General features: G+C 45.9%; 1 protein-coding gene across 30 annotated transcripts in view, besides 1 other annotated feature; it reads left to right on the forward strand.

Annotated features, from left to right (window-relative positions):
* ZNF331 (zinc finger protein 331) overlaps window positions 1–15846 on the forward strand; it is a 77035-nt gene extending 61189 nt beyond the window's left edge. For all 30 annotated transcript variants that reach the window (XM_047439049.1, XM_047439057.1, XM_047439058.1 and 27 more), the window contains 3 exons: window positions 4881–4962; window positions 7181–7307; window positions 12274–15846. In XM_047439049.1, coding sequence (XP_047295005.1) covers window positions 4954–4962; window positions 7181–7307; window positions 12274–13529 — 1392 coding nt within the window. In that variant the 5' untranslated portion in view covers window positions 4881–4953 and the 3' untranslated portion in view covers window positions 13530–15846. The remainder of the gene's footprint in view (window positions 1–4880; window positions 4963–7180; window positions 7308–12273) is intronic.
* Window positions 12433–13632: an enhancer, noted in NCBI's record as "P300/CBP strongly-dependent group 1 enhancer chr19:54080110-54081309 (GRCh37/hg19 assembly coordinates)". NCBI's record gives its function as "activates an origin of replication core promoter dependent on BRD2, BRD4, P300/CBP, MED14 and CDK7 cofactors, with strong dependence on P300/CBP, by STARR-seq in HCT116 cells {active_cell/tissue: HCT116}" and the evidence as "EXISTENCE:reporter gene assay evidence [ECO:0000049][PMID:35650434]".

Here is a 20069-nt window from a genome sequence, read left to right on the forward strand (position 1 = left end):
CATGTGCCACCATGCCCGGCTAATTTTTGTGTTTTTAGTAGAGACAGGGTTTTGCTATGTTGGCCAGGCTGGTTTTGGAACTCCTGACCTCAAGTGATCCACCCGCCTTGGCCTCCCAAAGCGCTGGGATTACAGGCATGAGCCACTGTGCCCGGACTATACATAATTTTTTAAATCTACCTTCTTCCCTTGGTAATTCATCAGAAATTTTTTCTCAATTAATCTGCATCAATATCATTAGTAAATGTATTCCATATCATTATATAACATTATTTATATATGTGTTCTCTACTATGAGATATTTCAGTTGTTTTCATTTTTAAACATTATCTGCTGGAAAATCTGGATAAGATCCATGGGTTGTTATTGTCCTGGTTGTGATATTTTACTGTTATTTTGCAAGGTGTCACAGTTGGCATAAATCAGGTCAAGGGTACAAAAGACCACTGTCTAGTATTTCTTATAACTACATGTGTATCTACATTTATCTCAGTTTAAAAGACAATCTTTCCTAGAAAAAACTGATTTTTTGAACATTCTTAGGCATGCATTCATATACTACTATAGCTATTTCCTTGTCATAAATTCCAGAATGTGGAATTTTTAGTCAAAATTAGACATTTGTTCAGTGCCTGCAATATGCCAGATGCTGTGGCTATTCGTACTTGGAATGAGAGTCTGATTCAGTGGACTCAGCTGCTGCCTGTACAGTGTTTATAATCCAGCAAGGGAAACTAAATAGAAGAAGCTCAAGGCAGCCTGTGGTCAAGGCCGGTGGAGAATTCCAGGTCACACACTCAGAGAGGTGCCAGGAAGGGGACATCATTCTGTGGACAGCCACTGATAATTCATGACCAGGTGATTCTGAATATACTGACTCTTTGTTGGGATAAATGGAATTTATTTTCTAGGCTTTATACCTTAGGTAATTTTTTTCCTTTTTAAATTTTTTGTAGAGATGGGGTCTTGCTATGTTGCCCAGGCTGGTCTCAGACTCCTGGCTTCAAGCAGTCCTCCCACTGTGGCCCCACAAAGCGCAGTGTTGGCATTACAAGTGTGAACCACTATGTCTGGCCTTTTTTGTCCTTTATCCTTTTTTATTTTTATTTTTTTTTCTTTTTGAGACAGAGTCTCAGTCTGTCACCCAGGCTGGAGTGCAGTGGCACGATCTGGGCTCACTGGAAACTCCACCTCCTGGGTTCAAGCAATTCTTGTGCCTCAGCTTCCCGAGTAGCTGGGATTACAGGCACGCACCACCACACCTAGCTAATATTTGTATTTTTCTAGTAGGGACGGGGTTTCACCATGTTGGCCAGGCTGGTCTCAAACTCCTGACCTCAGGTGATCCGCCCGCCTCAGCCTCCCAAAGTGCTGGGATTACAGGAGTGAGCCACCATGGCTAGGAGTAGACTTTTTAAGAAAAAAAAAGAAACCTTCTTTGTCTTTGGAGAGTCTAATTGCCTCTGACTACATTTCAAATCAGTACACATTTATATTTGATAAGGGAATGCATGCCTTTTGTTGCAACAAATAGGTGCACTGAAATGAAGACACTCAAGATCACGGGGTGTGTCAGGAGCTGTCAGGACCACCACCAGGTTCCTTGTTTCTCTAGATGGACTCAACAGGACTCACCATCTAGACCTACTCGTGACCGATTTATTCCAGTGAAGGGATACAAAGCAAAACCAGCTGAGGGAGAGGTTGCATAGGACAGGTTAGCAGGGCACCAGGCTCCCTCTTCCTCAGTCCTCTCCCAGGGGCATCACACCGGATGTGCCTGGCTCATCCAGCATCACATTGTGACAACACCTGTTCCATGTTATCGACCAGGGAAGCTCACCAGAGTCTGCTGGTGCAAGGTTTGGTTTGGTTTGGTTTGGTTTTGGGTCAGAGTTTTGCTCTTTCGTCCAGGCTGGAGTGAAGTGGCATGATCTCGGCTCGCTGCAACCTCTGCCCCCTGGGTGCAAGTGATTCTCCTGCCTCAGCCTCCCAAGTAGCTGGGTTTACAGGCACCCGCCACCAGGCCCAGCTAATTTTTGTATGGTAGTGCAAGGTTTTGATCAGGGTTCATGCACACACTGCCTCGCACAATCTGAATCTTCTGGACTCCCGGAGGAAACCAAGGGTTCCGTGTAAACCACATTGTTTATACTGATTATTCCAGCGAAGGGATACAAAGCAAAATCAGAAGAGGGAGAGGTTGCATAGGACAGGTTAGCAGGGAACCAGGCTCAGTTTAGGCACAGCGAGCCACTCTTACACGTGAAAGAAGAGTGAGAACACTCGGGTGTGGTTTTCAGACGCCATGGGCCAGTGTTGCGAGCAGCCTAAGCATGGCAGTTTCCAGTTCAGTGTGTTAACTGTTTTGCATAAGGGGTCGTAGAACTTCCCGGATTTTTTCTTTCTGTTTCTCTGTTTTTATATCTCTATTTTATTTATTTTTCTACTGATATCTTAGGGTTGGTTTGTCAGCGTGTATGGTTCTGCATTCCCTCCTTCCCTCTCTCCTCCTCTCCCTCTCTCTCCATATATATACATGTGTATGTGTATGTGTATATATAGACAGATGCGTGTGTGTGTGTATTTTTATATATGGAATTTTACAAATGTTATTGTGTCATTCTGTTTTGGTAACCTAACTTTACTGAGAGTATGTCTGAAATATCTCTCATGTCTTTAAATATCTTTCTAACTTAACATTCAGTAATCATTTACTATTTTACTTTGATATTCTGTGTGTAATTATGCTGTCAGCTTTTCTGGACTCAAAAGTGCTCTCAGATGTCACCTCTGGTATACAAAAAAAACAGTTCTGTATATTACCTGAGCAGTTTCTTGTCCACCTGCCATGTTGTGAGTAACATCACCCAATCTAGAGGCCAGAAGAGGCCCAAGTTTGGATAATACAGCCCCTGTTCACCCTGGAAGCTTGTCTGGAGGGGCCAGGGTAGGCTCAGAATGAGACTGAATACTCTGAGCACCCACTGTCTGATCCTAGATCACAATCCCCCCATCCAGAGTTAGCTAATCTATGAGGCTCATGGGTATGGTCTGCATAGAAGACCACCCTCACTTCTGACACCACTGCAAGCTTGGTGGGGATTCCTCAAACCGCCCTCAGGTTCAACAGTTCACTAGAGCCAGGCATGGTGACTCATGCCTATAATCCCAGCACCTTGGGAAGCTAAGGTGGGAAGCTCACTTGAGGCCAGGAGTTCAAGACCAGCCTGGGAAATATAGTGAGACGCAATCTCTACAAAAAAAAAAATTAGCCAAGTGCAGTGGTGCAACCTGTAATCCCACCTACTCGGGAGGCTGAGGTGGGAGGATTGCTCGAGCCCAGGAAGTCAAGGCTGCAGTGAGCTGAGATTGTACCACTGCACTCCAGCCTGGATGAGAGTGAGACCCTGTCTTAAAAAAAAAAAACAAAAAACTATTCACTAAAAGGACCCACAGAATTCACTGAGAGATGTTATGCTCATGGTTACAGTTTATTACAAGGAAAGGATACAGATTGTCATCACCCAAGGAAAGAAGTACGTGGCCAGGTGTGGTGGCTCATGCCTGTAATCCCAACGCTTTGGGAGGACAAGGAGGGCAGATCACGAGGTCGGGAGTTTGAGACCAGCCTGGCCAACATGGTGAAACCCCATCTCTACTAAAAATACAAAAATTAGCTGGACATGGTGGCATGTGCCTATAGTCCCAGCTACTCAGGAGGCTGAGGAGAATCGCTTGAACCCGGGAGGCAGAGGTTGTGGTAGGCCGAGATCGTGCCACTGCACTCCAGCCTGGGCAACAGAGTGAGACTCCGTTCAAAAAAAAAAAAAAAAAGTACGTAAGTTGAAGTCCAGGAGGGTTCCAGACACAGAGCTTCTGGTGTCTTCTCCCTGTGGAGTCAGGACTCATTACTCTGCTGTCTTTGATGTGTGACAACAGGCACCAACTATCGCCAACTAGAGAAGCTCACCAGAGCTCTGATGTTGGAAGTTTTTATTGGGGCCTCAGCATGTAGACATGATTGACTGGTTGGTGGATTAACTGTCTACATGGTTAATCTTAGTGTCCAGGTCAGCTGATACTGCGTGACCAAAAGCTCCTACCCCGAATCCCTTGATTAGTATTTCTGGCATAGCAAGCCCCCATCAGAAACAAAGACATTCCTCTTAGAGGTAATATAGATTACCTTTCAGCACCAGAGGGCAAAGGCCAGACTACTTTTTAGGCAAGTACACATTCTTTACTACATCCCACCCATCCGTCCCCGACAGGGAGCTGGCCAGAAATGGAGCCCTCCTGTTAAATTGTCTGGGCCTGTCTTTGAGGCGCAAAAAAAAAAAAAAGTAAAGCCTCCTCTGCTGTGTGCAGCTAGGTTTCCTGAGGTTTCATTGAGAGCTTGGTTTAGGTTTGATCCATGATACTCTTTTTTTTTTTTTTTTTTTTTTTTGAGACAGAATCTTGCTCTGTCACCAGAGGCTGGAGTGCAGTGACGCAATCTCAGCTCACTGCAACCTCCGCCTCCCGGGTTCAAGCGATTCCCCTGCCTCAACCTCCCAAGTAGCTGGGACTACAGGCACGTGCCACCACATCCGGCTAATTTTTTGTATTTTTAGTAGAGGCAGGGTTTCACCGTGTTAGCCAAGATGGTCTCGATCTCCTAACCTTGTGATCCACCCACCTCGGCCTCCCAAAGTGCTGGGATTACAGGCGTGAGCCACCGCACCTGGCCTGATCCATGATACTCTTCACCTTTCCCAGATATGTCACGGTTATGTGTTTGTGTTGGGAAGCCAAGACAGAGGAGCCAAAAGGTCATATTACATCACTATGGGGACCCCAGATGCACCTCGTTTTAATCTCTTTTTTTCCACCCCTAGCTCTAGCCTCTCGGAATTTGTCTTCTTCAGTGGAAACCCCGAGAAGACTGATCAGTTCTTCAGTTCTAAAACAATGGCCCAGGTAAGTGTATATTTCTCTTTCCTTCTTGAGCTATGATATTTGCGTTCTGTGCATCTGCTTGTGAATTATCTGAAGCCTTTTATCTAGTCAAGCTCTTTATAATTACCTGTTTCCCAGCTCTTTCTATTCCAGTGAATGATAATGCCACGTAGCTCCGTGTCTGCCTTTTTGGGAAATCACTGAGCAGGTGATTAAGTATCTCCTGTTTGCTCCCTTTTTTGGCAAGGGTAATTTTGGAGCAGTGAAGTAGCAAAGTCCTTTGAGGGAAATATTTAAGTCAAGTCTGTGGTTTGATGAGTTAGATATGTTGGTCCCATCTGACCACATGAGAAACAGATCCTCCACTGATCATGTTTTCTGCGTAGATAAGAGGGAATGCTCATATTCGCCGGTCTGTCTTAGTATGTGCTCAGATCCCAAGCTTTATGGGACTTTTGGAAAGGGATGGGGCTGTGATTAGGACCTTTGAACAGAGGTCATGTTCCTGCCGGGAAACTGGAGGATAAATTTTATTATTGAATGGATCTCTCAGACCACAAGATGATTCTAAGTCATCTGACATCCTTATCCTCTAAATCAGAAACAGGGGGCCGGGTGTGGTGGCTCACACCTGTAATCCCAGCACTTTGGGAGGCCCAGGTGGGTGGATCACTTGTGGTCAGGAGTTCAAAACCAACCTGACCAACATGGTAAAACCTCATCTGTACTAAAAATACCAAAATTAGCAGGCTATGGTGGCATGTGTCCATAATCCCAGCTACTTGGTAGGCTGAGGCAGGAGAATTGCTTGAACCCAGGAGATGGAGGTTGCAGTGAGCCAAGATCATGCCACTGCACTCCAGCCTGGGCAACAGAGCAAGACTCTGTCTCAAAAAAAAAAAAAAAAAAAAATCAGGAACGGGGGAAAGGCAGGGTTATGGATGGTAATAAATATGAAGATCTTCCAGTATGGAAGTAGGAGATGATCACATACCCCAGAATCGGAGAAAGCCTTAGGTGTTTTGGGCAACCTAAGTGAATAACTGTAATAAACAGTCTGACTTACCTGTGTGGGAATTTTTTAAATGCTTAAAAGGAAGACTGCTTAAAATGTAGTTTGGCATGATGAACTGGAGGCTTGAAAACATTCAAACATGCAAACCGTATTTTCTTTTTTTTTTTCTTGGGACGGAGTTTCACTCTTGTTGCCCAGGCTGGAGTGCAGTGGTGCCATCTTGGCTCACCTCAACCTCTGCCTCGCGGGTTCAAGTAATTCTCCTGCCTCAGCCTCCTGAGTAGCTGGGATTACAGGGATGCGCCGCCACACCCAGCTAATTTTGTATTTTAAGTAGAGACGAGGTTTCTGCATGTTGGTCAACCTGGTCTCGAACCCCCAACCTCAGGTGATCCGCCTGCCTCAGCCTCCCAAAGTGCTGGGATTACAGGCATGAGCCACCACACCCAGCAAACCCTATCTTCTTTTCTTTTCTTTTCTTTTCTTTTTTTTTTTGAGACAGAGTCTCGCTCTGTCGCCCAGGCTGGAGTGCAGTGCCACAATCTCCGCTCACTGCAAGCTCTGACCACCCCGGGTTCATGCCATTCTCCTGCCTCAGCCTCCCGAGTAGCTGGGACTACAGGCGCCCACCATCACGCCCGGCTAATTTTTTTGTATTTTTAGTAGAGATGGGGTTTCACCATGTTTGCCAGGATGGTCTCGATCTCCTGACCTCGTGATCCGCCTGCCTTGTTCTCGTGATCCGCCTGCCTTGGCCTCCCAAAGTGTTGGGATTACAGGCGTGAGCCCCCCGCCCAGCCCCAGCAAACCCTATTTTCTAAAATAAAAGTTCTTAAACAGAAATCTTGATTTTTCTTCCCCCCTTAAAAGAAAAAATGCTGTAGGAATCCACACTTGTTGAGAACTTATAAGGCAGGCACGTAGCAGACACTGCTTGTAAGCAAGAAGAAAACTTGGATTGTTTTATCCACTTCCTGGCAGGTTTGACTAACTGAGGATTCTGCACAGTAAAGTCATTTTCTCTGCAGCGGTAGAGCTCTTCAGTGACATGCAGGCATTCTGCTTCCGTCACAGTTACAGTGATGTCCTTACCGCCCCTTGCCGATGTCACGGGTGTTCAGTCTGCTCACGGTGTTCACCCTACCCAGAGGGTGGCCTCCTGTCTCCTTCATCTGGAAGCTGTTTCCTTTCATTTCATCATGCACGTGTGGGTTTCTGTTTCAGGGTTTGGTGACGTTCGCCGACGTAGCCATAGACTTTTCTCAGGAGGAGTGGGCCTGTCTGAACTCTGCTCAGAGGGACCTGTACTGGGACGTGATGCTGGAGAACTACAGTAACTTGGTCTCACTGGGTGAGTTGCACGCCTCAGATAACTTAGACTGCCTCCTGGAATATCCGCTCTCCCCTGTGAATTTCAGGACCGCCTTTCAAGAAACTAGTTGAATTTCTTCTTCCTGTCCCCAAGGAATGTATTGAGCCTTATTGATGTGGCCGTGAGCACCACAACCTTCCCCTCCCATCCATCGGTTACCTTCCCACCTTTGTCGACTCCCCCGTAATCATCTCACTTCCTTAATGTCCGTGGAATGAGTGGGAATTCTGGGATATTTATTTCATGACCATCTTCAAAGGAGCCAGTTTGTCCTGTGAGAGTATGTTTATACCCAAATTGCTATTGGTGGTCGGTGTTACTCTAGGGACCCACGTCTAGGGAAAACATGTGGACACAGTGCCCTGAATTGTTCTAGTAAACCAGCCTATGTGTTTGAAGTACAGTAGATCAGACAAACAGAATTTGTGTAAAACCAAAGTGGGCGTATTTCATTTCTTACATACCATACCTGAAGTGAGGTTGAAAGTTACAATCCCCGAACTGTGAGTTAAACATTGAATGACAATATCTTGCAAACATCCCTGGAAACTTATTTTTCTTCTAGCAAAAATAACAACAATGATATTAATGGCTAAGCTGTCTGTGGTGACCCTGCCTGTAATCCCAGCTACTCGGGAGACTGAGGCAGGAGGATCACTTGAGCCCAGGAGTTGAAGGCTATAGTTAGCTATGATCATACCACTGTACTCCAGGCTGGGTAACAGATCAAGACCCCATCGCTAAAACAATAAACAAATAGGAATATATATATTTTATATATATACACACACATATATATTATATATACACACACATATATATTATATATACACATATATATTATATATACACATATATATTATATATACACATATATACATATACAATATATACATATATAGTATATATTATATATATAAACTGCTTACTGTGTGCCATGCACTGTGCTAAGCACTGTGTGTGTAAGTACATTGCATTTCGTTCTCACAGGCAGATGAGACAGGCACAATCATTGTCTATTTTGGAGATGAGGATACTGAAACACAGTGATGCAGTCAGACGGAGGGAGCAGGAGCTAGAATCAGATTTAACAGTTTTGGTCCCCAGATTCCTTGCTGCCAGCCACCATGTTCCACTTGCCTCCAGGCATAATGCCTACAGAAATTTAAAATATGACCTTTTCTCGGCCAGGCGCAGTGGCTCACGCCTGTAATCCCAGCACTTTGGGAGGCTGAGGTGGGCGGATCACTGGAGGTCAGGAGTTAGAGACCAGCCTGGCCAACATGGTGAAACCCTGTCTCTACTAAAAATATAAAAATTAGCCGGGCATGGTGGCGCACGCCTGTGATCTCAGCTACTCCGGAGGCTGGTGCAGGAGAATCATTTGAACCTGGGAAGCAGAGGTTGCAGTGAGCCAAGATCACGCTACTGTGCTGCAGCCTGGGCAACAAAGCGAGACTCTGTCTCAAAAATAATAAAAAATAAGGCCGGGTGCGGTGGCTCACTCCTGTGATCACAAGACTGGCAGGCCAAGGCAGACGGATCACGAAGATAGGAGTTCGAGACCAGCTTGGCCAACAGAGTGAAACCCCATCTCTCCTGAAAATACAAAAATTTGCCGGGTGTGGTGGCGCATGCCTGTAATTCCAGCTACTTGGGAGGCTGAGGCAGGAGAATCACTTGAACCCGGGAGGTAGAGGTATAGCATTTCTTTTTTTTTTTAAGTTGAGATTTTTTTCTTTTTTTCACTCTGTTACTCAGGCTGGAGTGCAGTGGCGCGATCACAGCTCACAGCAGCCTCAACCTCCTGGGCTCAAGCAATCTTCCTGCCTCATCTCCCTGAGTAGCAGGGACCACAGGTGCACACCACGACACCCGGCTAATTGTTGTGTTTTTTCTTAGAGATGGGATTTCGCCATGTTGTCCAAGCTGATCTTGAACTCCTGGGCTAAAGGAATCCACCCACCTCAGCCTTCCAAAGAGGCTGGATTACAGGCGTGAGCCACTGCACCTGGCTCAATAGCATTTTGACTTCTGGTTGTTATAAATTTGATTAATACTCAATCAAAAAAAATTTAAGGCCAGGCATGGTGGTTCACGCCTATAATCCCAGCACTTTGGGAGTCCAAGGCGGGCAGATCACCTGAAGTCAGGACTTCAAGACCAGCCTGGCCAACATGGTGAAAACCCGTCTCTACTAAAAACACAAAAATTAGCCGGTGTGCTGGTGTGCGCCTGTAATCCCAGCTACCCAGGAGACTGAGTGAGGCAGGAGAATTGCTGGGACCTGGGAGGCAGAGGCTGCAGTGAGTCAAGATCATGCCACTGCACTCCAGCCTGGGCAACAGAGCAAGACTCCCTCTCAAAAAATAAAAATAATTTTTAAAGAATTTTTGAAGTTTTGAGCTTGAAATTTTTCCTCAAGTTCTATGTCCTCTAGCATTTCGTTTTTTTAAAGGAGGGCATATAATTTCTAAGCCAGAGGTACTGTCTTATAGAATTAAGGGAAAGAGCCTTGATGGTTGTGAGGGAAGAGACAAGACAACAATACGGAGGAAAGTGGGAGCCAGTCAGCCACCCGTACAAAGAGCATCCCCACAGGGCAGGGAACAGGCACACCCTGAGGTGTTGGAGAGCTTTCTCCAAGAGCTCAGGCCCAAAGCCTCTAGGAAAGAAAGATCTTACCACGAACTTGATCTTCACCCCATTTCCCTGTCACCTTGTTTTTCCTGTCATATTTAACCCCATTTTATGTGCTGCTGGTGCTGCTGGTCTGTGGGCCACGCCTTTAGTAGCGGGTAGAGGTGACAGGGTCCTCTGCCCTTTATCATTCCTGAAAGTGGGTTAGCCTCGCTTTAAGTGCCCGTTTTCTTTTTCTCATATCTAGGTGTTGGCAGTACTGCTTCCCGGGTGTTGTTAATGTGTCACCACCATGAAGCACCTGGTGTCTGGTTGTAGCTCCTCTTTGCCATTGGCAGTCATTGGCACTGCTTACATTCATCACACTGGGGGCTCAAATGGTGCGCGCCTATCACTGCCCCTTCATTTATCAGCTGTTATAATTTAAAGAGAAACTTTGTTTCATCTGCTAATTGCTCATGCAGTGGCACTGTTCATATTGGATAAGAAGGATAAAAACTTTGTTCTTTTTCTTTGTCAGTTTTTATGTTGTATTTTTTTCTTTTCTTTTTTTTTTTTTTTTTTGAGGCAGGGTCTTACTCTGATTCCCAGGCTGGAGTGCAGTAGTGCAGTCTGGGCTCACTGCAGCCTTGACTTCCGGGCTCAAGCCATCCTCCCACCTCAGCCTCCCAAGTAGCTGGGACTATAGGTGTACACCACCACACCTGGCTAATTTTTGTATTTTTTTTGTAGAGACAGGGTTTTGCTATGTTTCCCAGGCTGGTTTTGAACTCCTGAGCTCAAGTAATCCACCCACCTCGGTCTCCCAAAGTGCTGGGATTACAGGCGTGAGCCACTGCACCTAGCCAATTGCCAGTTTTTATAATAAAGGTCTGGTTTCCTAGCGTGTTCCAGAGCTGGCCATTTAACATTTTGTAGTATCATTATGAACTTATAGATTTAAACGTTTGCTGTTTCTCAGTCCTTTGCAGTTAGCCTCCTTATTGATGCTCAAGTTCTAAACTTTTCCTTATTGTTCTTCTAAACTTTTTCACATTTTTTATTAAATTTAGTCTCGTAAATTATCTTTTTTGTTGCTTTTGAATGTTGTATTCTTTTACCCAGTTGCTTTTTTTTTTTTTTTTTTTTTTGAGACGGAGTCTTATTCAGTCGGCTCACTGCAACCTCCACCTCCCGGGTTCAAGCGATTCTCCTGCCTCAGCCTCCCAAGTAGCTGGGATTATAGGCTCACACCACCATGCCTGGCTAATTTTTGCGTTTTTAGTACAGACAGGGTTTGTTTGTTTTTGTTTTTTGTTTTTTGTTTTTTTGATATGGAGTCTAGCTCTGTCACCCAGGCTGGAGTGCAGTGGCACAATCTCGGCTCACCGCAACTTCTGCCTCCCGGGTTCAAGCGATTCTCCTGCCTCAGCCTCCGGAGTAGCTGGGATTACAGGCACCCACCACCATGCCCAGCTAATGTTTGTATTTTTAGTAGAGACAGGATTTCACCGTGTTGGCCAGGCTGGTCTCGAACTCCTGACTTCATGATCTGCCCACCTCGGCCTCCCAAAGTGCTGGGATTACAAGCGTGAGCCACCGTGCCCAGTCTGTTTTTTTGTTTTTGTTTTGAGACAGAGTTTCATGCTTGTTGCCCAGGCTACAGTGCAATGGCATGATCTCGGCTCACTGCAACCTCTGCTTCCCAGGTTCAAGCAATTTCCCTGCCTCAGCCTCCCGAGTAGCTGGGATTACAGTCATGCGCCACCATGTCCGGCTAATTTTGTATTTTTAGTAGAGACAAGGTTTCTCCATGTTGGTCAAGCTGGTCTCGGACTCCCGACCTCAGGTGATCTGCCTGCCTTGGCCTCCCAAAGTGCTGGGATTACAGGCGTGATGAGCCACCACTCCCGGCCCTTTACCAGTTACTTTTAATAATACTACTGACATATACGTGTATCAGTTTCAGAATGCTTTACACACAGCCATCCAACTGCATATTGTTTTGTTACAGTACTTCTATATTTGGTTTTCCAAGTATATCATCACATCATCTACAAATACTTGTTTTCATCTTCAAAATAGGAAATAATAGGACTAATTGTCGGGACCTTTTTCATGTCTGACTTTAAAATAGATGTCTCCAATGAATTCTCAGTTAGTATTGTACCAGAAGTAGAATCTACATTTTAACAAGAGCCCTGGGTGATTCACATTTATTCTACTGGATAATTTTTATTTCTATTAGACGAGTTTTTGGTTTGTGGTTAGGTTCGTTTGTACTTGTGTCCCTCTAAAGGAAAGAAAATATGTTCTTTTTTCCCAGATTTGGAGTCAGCATATGAAAATAAGAGTTTACCTACAGAAAAAAACATTCATGAAATAAGGGCTTCCAAAAGGAATTCAGATAGAAGAAGTAAATCCCTTGGCCGTAACTGGATATGTGAAGGTACGCTTGAAAGACCACAGCGCTCCAGAGGGAGGTATGTCAATCAGATGATCATCAATTATGTCAAAAGACCTGCTACTAGAGAAGGCACCCCTCCTAGAACACATCAGAGACATCATAAGGAGAATTCCTTTGAATGTAAGGACTGTGGGAAGGCCTTTAGTCGTGGCTATCAACTTAGTCAACATCAGAAAATCCATACTGGTGAGAAACCTTATGAATGTAAAGAATGTAAGAAGGCCTTCCGTTGGGGCAATCAGCTTACTCAACATCAAAAAATTCATACTGGGGAGAAGCCCTACGAATGTAAAGACTGTGGGAAGGCTTTTCGATGGGGCTCAAGCCTCGTTATTCATAAGAGGATTCATACTGGTGAAAAACCCTATGAATGTAAAGACTGTGGAAAGGCCTTTCGGCGTGGTGATGAGCTCACTCAGCACCAGAGATTCCACACTGGGGAGAAAGACTACGAATGCAAAGACTGTGGGAAGACCTTTAGCCGTGTGTATAAACTTATTCAGCACAAGAGAATTCATAGTGGGGAGAAGCCTTACGAGTGTAAAGACTGTGGGAAGGCTTTTATTTGTGGTTCAAGCCTCATTCAGCATAAAAGAATTCACACAGGTGAGAAACCCTATGAATGTCAAGAATGTGGGAAGGCCTTTACTCGAGTCAATTACCTTACTCAGCATCAGAAGATCCACACCGGTGAGAAGCCTCACGAATGTAAGGAGTGTGGGAAGGCCTTTCGCTGGGGTTCGAGCCTCGTTAAGCACGAGAGGATACATACGGGCGAGAAGCCGTACAAGTGCACAGAATGTGGGAAGGCCTTCAATTGTGGCTATCACCTCACTCAGCACGAGAGAATCCACACAGGCGAAACCCCGTATAAATGTAAGGAGTGTGGGAAGGCTTTCATTTATGGATCGAGCCTCGTGAAACATGAGAGAATTCATACCGGGGTGAAACCCTATGGGTGTACAGAATGTGGGAAGAGCTTTAGTCACGGCCATCAGCTTACACAACATCAGAAAACGCACAGTGGGGCGAAATCCTACGAATGTAAGGAGTGCGGGAAGGCATGTAACCACCTAAACCATCTCCGAGAACATCAGAGGATCCACAACAGTTGAAGAGCCTTTTGAACGCAGTAGCCCGCTCGTATCTATGGTTTCGCTTTCCACAGTTTGTTACCTGCAGTCAACTGCAGTTCAAAAATATTAAATGGAAAATTCCAGAAATAAAGAATTTTAAGTCTCAAATGGTGTGCCCTTCTGAGTAGCGTGATGAAATCTCTCGCTGTCCGGCTCCAGCCGGCCGGGGATGTGAGTCATCCCTTGGTCCAGCACATCCACGCTGTATACGCCACCCACCCTGCTAGTGACTTAGTAGCCGTCTTGGTGATCAGATCAACTATCCCAGCATCACAGTGCCTGTGCCCAAGCAGTCCTCACTTTGCTTAACAGTGGCCCCAGAGAGCAGGAGTAGTGATGCTGGTGATTCGGATATGCCAAAGAGAAGCCACAAAGTGCTTCCTTTTAAATGAAAAGGTGAAAGTTCTCAACTTAAAAAAGAAAAGAAAAAAATCATATACTGAGGTTGCTAAGATCTACATGACAATAAGATATTTTGGGAGAGAGATACGTTCACATAATTTTATTACATATATTGTTACAATTGTTCTATTTTGTTAGTTACTGTTGGTAATCTCTTACTGTGCCTAATTTATAAATTAAACTTTAGATATGTATGTACAGGAAAAAATGTAGTATATAGTATCGTATATATGTACAGGAAAAAAACGTACTATCTGTGGTTTCAGGTGTCCACTGCGGGTCTTCAAACGTACCCCCCTCAGGTGAGAGGGGACTGCTGTACAAAGAATATAGGAAGGCCTCTAGACTACATCCATTCCTTCCTCAACAGGAGGAAAATTCCTGGTACAGTTTAACGTAAGGCTTCACTGATCACTGTTGTTTTTGTTTTTGTTTTTGTTTTTTTGAGACAGAGTCTCACTCTTGCCCAGGCTGGAGTGCAGTGGCACGGTCTTGGCTCACTGCAACCTCCACCTCCCAGGTTCCAGCAATTCTCCTGCCTCAGCCTCCCCAGTAGCTGGGATTACAGACATGCACCACCACACCTGGCTAATTTTTGTATTTTTAGTAGAGACAGTTTTCACCATGTTGTCCAGGCTGGTCTCAACTCCTGACCTCAGGTGATCCACCCACCTTGCCCTCCCAAAGTGCTAGGATTACAGGCGTGAGCCACTGCACCTAGCCCACTGATCACTCTTCTGCTTACAGAATATCAGAAGTCATTCTAGAGGCAAATTTGAAGAGTGGAAAAATCACTTTTTCTGAATGATCTTGTTTTTGGTGTAGATGTTTTTATTGTGTGGGTTAGTTTAATGAATACATAAAGACTACCAGTACCATTCTGTCTTTACTCCGTGGCATCTGTGGAATAACCCTGCTAATGTAACACGTGAGAAAGCCTTTGGTCATGCCACCCACTCTACCAGTTGTCCCCACCATCCCCCGCCCTCCTCCCTGTGAGACACTGGGCCAAAGGCTCACTACCCCTGTGCGTTGTCCAGCACACAGACACTATGTGCATTATTTGTACATAAGGATAATCACATCTACCTGAGACTGCTATCATGGAAATTAAATGTTTGGTACATGTAAAGTCTTTGAAAGTGTAACTGGAATATTGTGTAATTTTAATAAATAATAACTATTGTTGTTTTTATGATCATTACTACCATTTGTGTTGCCATTAGTGAATTTTTACAAGAAAACTCCCTGTGGGTGCAATGAGTCTGGAAAAGACCATTGAGTCTTCTAGAAGAAAACATTAAGAGATTATTGGCACAGCCGTGGGTTACGCAATGATTTCTTAGTACACAAAACACAGCAAACATAAAAAGTTGTTACACTTCATCAAAAGTACAAAGTTCTGTTCATCAAATGATGCTGTTAAGATAGGGAAAAGACAAGAAACAGGACTGGAAGAAGATGTTTGCTCTAAGGTACACCTGACAAAGGAACTCTCATAGAAAATATAAAGAATCCCTCAAGTTGAAAAAAAAATCAATTTAAAGGGGAGAAAACTTCAGCACGTCTCAACAGAAGACCACCAAATGGCCAATAAGTAAGTGAAAATGTATTCAATGTCATTGCTCCTCAAGGAACTGTAGAGTAAAACCACAATGTGCTGTCACTCTAGACAGTCACCAGGATGATTAAATTTAAATCACAATAACAAGGCTGATTTCAGATGTCTCACCACAAAGAAGGAGGATAAGGGAGCGAGGTGATGGATATGTTAATTAGCTTGATTTAATCCTTCCACATTGTATACATGTATCAGAACATCACATTGTACTCCATCAATATAATACAATTATTATTTGTCAATCAAATATTAATAAAATCAAAGATGAGCAGGTCTCTTTGTTGGATATTCAAACACGACCTATTCAAGAAGGAACCCCGCCAGCAGACTGGACCTCTGCTAAACCCTAGCGGTGCCCACAGCAGGGACAGCGCGGGAGGGAGGTGAGCGGACTGGTCCTGGGGACGGGGTCAGGGCCCAGAGTAGAGTTGTTACAGGAAAGGGGTGCCAATCCAGACCCCAGGAGAGAGTTCTTGGATCTCACACAAGAAAGAATTCAGGACAAGTCCTCAGTGCAAAGCAAAAGCAACTTTATTAAGAAAGTAAAGTGGTGGGACCAGGTGCGGTGGCTCACGCCTGTAATCCCAGCACTTTGGGAGGCCGAGGTGGGTAGATCACCTGAGGTCGGGAGTTCAAGACCAGCCTGGCCAACATGGCAAGACCCCATCTCTACTATAAATACAAAATTAGCCAGGTGTGTGGGCACACATCTGCAGTCCAGCTACTCGAGAGGCTGAGCCAGGAGAATCACTTGAACCCGGGAGGCAGAGGTTGCAGTGAGCTGAGATCACACCACTGCACTCCAGCCTGGGCGACAGAGGGAGGCTCCATCTCAAAAACAGAAAAAGTGGCGAAAGGACAGCTACTCCACAGACAGTGTTGGACGCTCCTGACGTTAGGAGGAACGCATCCACCCTAGGTCCAATGCTCACATATATGGGGAGACGTGCTCTGCTACAAGGGTTTGTGATGAAGGATTCATTCTCTTCATTATTTTGCAAGAATTGATATTATCTTTAAAGCAAAACTAGGAATGCCTTTGTTCTCCAGATATCAGGATATCTGGACACTCCCAAGTGTGGGTCTGTTTAGTAACTGTTAATAATTTGTTCCCTTAACCGTAAACATCTGGAGGCTCGGAATTGCCTACATTTCTCAGAATGCAGCCCAGCAAGTCTCAGCCTCATTTTCCTAGCCCGCACTCAAAATGGAGTCGCTCTGGTTCAAACACCTCTGACAGAGTCCTGGGGGAGGTGCGGACACAGACTCAGGGGAGAGACCTGAACTATCTTAAGATGGTCCTAGGCTGAGGGTAGGATTACCTTAGGGAAAGGACCAGAGCCCATAGTAGGAATCGGAGAATATGGATTGGGGAGGACTCTAGACCCCATGGGAGTGAGTTTGACGGGGCAGAGGAGTGGCTAATGGGCATGGGAGGGCCTGGCTAGAGCTCAGGGATGAATTCTGGGAGAGAAGGGATAGAGGCCTGGAGAGAGGCCTTGGGGCTGGGAGAGGACTGGAGTGCTCCTGAGAGCAGCTGCGGAGATGGAGGGCGGACGCTACATCCTGCAGGAGAGCCTTAGGCACGGGGGATGGTGGTGTGGTTAGAGCTCAGGGGTGTCCTATAAAGGTTGGCAAAGGATCCAGAATATAGGGTTGAAGTCCTGCTTGTTTGATTTACCTCAAGGGTAGGGTTACGTTTCAATCAAAGCTGCTTAGTTCTCGGATTACAAATACCTCAGCATTAGGTTAAGGATTCAGATTCTCCAGGGGTGGTGGGGAAGTGAGGGAGCATGTTTGGGGAAGGGGTTCCAGACCCAGGTTTCAGAGCTGGGTATCTTTCTGGTCTAGGCTTCAGTACCCTTAGGAATCAACCTCATAGGCGGCACCGTCCTGCTTAGTGCCCCTTTCCCCTGTGGACCCTACGCCAGCCTCAGCAGAAGGGGCCCAGGGTCCCTTCCTTGCCACCAAGAGCAACACGCATGGTGGGGCCACTGCTCTTCCCAGCATTCCCGCATAAACAGAGGAGGAGCTGGGTGGGGTAAGGAGAAGGGCAGGGGAAGGAGTGTGAAGAGGAGAAGCAGGTGGAAGACAGTGAGAGGAGGCTGGAGGAATGTGGGAGTAGGGGTAGGGAGAATACTGAGAAACGAGGAGGCTGTGCAGAAAGGCAGCACTGGCCTGGCCTTACAGGACACAGCCAAGGCACAGGAAGACAGCCTGGGTGGACAGGGTTAGTTCCCAGAAGGAAATATGGGAAGAATGTGTGTCAGGCAGGACTCTTGGCTCAAGGAGCAAAATCCAAAGTTTATATAAAAAGCCCAGAGGTGGGCCAACGCGGTGGCTCACGCCTGTAATCTCAGCACTTCGGGAGGCTGAGGCGAGTGGATCACTTGAGGTCGGGAGTTTGAGACCAGCCTGGCCAACACAGTGAAAACCTGTCTCTACTAAAAATGCAAAAATTAGCCCGGCACAATGGTGCACACCTGCAATCTCAGCTACTCGGGAGGCTGAGGCAGGAGAATCACTTGAACCGGGCAGGCGGAGGTTGCGGTGAGCTGAGATCCAGCCAGTGCACTTTTTTGAGACAGAGCAAGACTCCATCTCAAAAAAAAAAAAAAAAAAAAATCCCGGAGGTGGCCAGGCGCAGTGGCCCATGCCTGTAATCCCAGCACTTTGGGAGGCCTAGGCAGGCAGATCAACTGAGGTCAGCAGTTAAAAACCAGCATGGCCAACTTAGTGAAACCCTGTCTCTACTAAAAATACAAAAATTAGCCAGGCGTGGTGACCCACGCCTGTAATCCCAGCTACTCAGGAGGCTGAGGCAGGAGAATGGCTTGAACCCAGGAGGCTACGGTGAGCTGAGATCGCCTCGCTGCACTCCAACCTGAGCTACAGAGTGGCTAATTTTTGTATTTTTAGTGGAGACGGTACAGTGGTTCATGCCTATACTCCTAGTACTTTAGGAAGCCGAGGTGGGCAGATCACCTGAGGTCAGGAGTTCAAGACCAGCATGGCCAACATGGTGAAACTCCGTCTCCACTAAAAATACAAAAATTAGCCAGGTGTGATAGCGCATGCCTGTAATCTCAGCTACTCAGGAGGCTGAGACAGGAGAATCGCTGGAACCCAGGAGGCAGAGGTTGCAGTGAGCCAATATCGCTCCACTGCACTCCAGCCTAGCCGGCAGAGCAAGACTCCGTCTCATAAAAAAAAAAAAATAATAATAATAATAAAGTTTACCCTAGCTTGGGCAACATAGTGGGATTCTGTCTCTACAAAAAATAAAAATATTAGCCAGGTGTGGTGGTGCTCACTTGTAGTCCCAACTACTCAAGAGGCTGAGGCAGGAGGATTGCTTGAGCCCAGGAGGTGGAGGCTACAGTGAGTGATGATTGCATCACTGGATTCCAGCCTGGATAATGACAAAAAAACAAACAAAACAAACAAAAACCCTACAAAGAGCAGTAACAACAACAACAAAAAAAAAACAGGGCGGGTACAGTGGCTCACACCTGTAATCCTAGCACTTGGGGAGGCTGAGGTGGACGGATCACCTCAGGTCAGGAGTTTGAGACCAGCCTGACCAACATGGTGAAACCCCGTCTCTACTAAAAATACAAAAATTAGCCGGGCAAGGTGGCGCATGCCTGTGATCCCAGCTACTCAAGAGGCTAAGGCAGGAGAATCGCTTGAACTCAGGAGGCGGAGGTTGCTGTGAGCCGAGGGTGTACCACTTCACTCCAGCCCGGGCGACAGAGTGAGACTCTCTCAAAAAAAAAAAAAAAAAAAACTACAAAGAGCAGTAAAAGCCATGGGGTAAAGGGTAACCATGAAGTCAAAGAGCTTTACTAAAGTAAGTCATTATTGAGCCGGGCTTGGTGGCTTACGCCTGTAATCCCAGCACTTTGCGGGGCTGAGGCAGGCAGATCACCTGAAGTCTGGAGTTCAAGACCAACCAGGCCAACATGGGGAAACCTCATCTCTATTAAAAATACAAAATTAGCTGGGTGTGGTGGCAGATGCCTGTAATCCCAGCTACTTGGGAGGCTGAGGCAGGAGAATTGCTTGAATCCGGGAGGCGGAGGTTGCAGTGAACCGAGAATACGCCCCATTGCACTCCAGCCTGGACAACAAGAGTGAAACTCTGTCTCAAAAAAAAAAAAAAAAAAGGAGGTACATGAGTTGTACGCAAAAGCTACAAAACAGTTGAAGTTGTAGAATAATTTTTTTAAAAAACCTAAATAAATGGAAGGGTTTTTTTTTGTTTTTGAGACGGAGTCTCACTCTGTCGCCCAGGCTGGAGTGCAGTGGTGCACTCTCAGTTCACCGCAACCTCCACCTCCCCGGTTCAAGAGACTCCTGCCTTAGCCTCCTGAGTAGCTGGGACTACAGGCACCTGCCACCATGCCCAGCTAATTTTTGTATTTTTAGTAGAGCCAGGGTTTCGCCATGTTGACCAGGCTGGTCTTGAACTCCTGACCTCAGGTGATTCACCC

Source organism: Homo sapiens, chromosome 19 (genome assembly GCF_000001405.40).
Source record: "Homo sapiens chromosome 19, GRCh38.p14 Primary Assembly".
Lineage (NCBI taxonomy): Eukaryota > Metazoa > Chordata > Mammalia > Primates > Hominidae > Homo > Homo sapiens.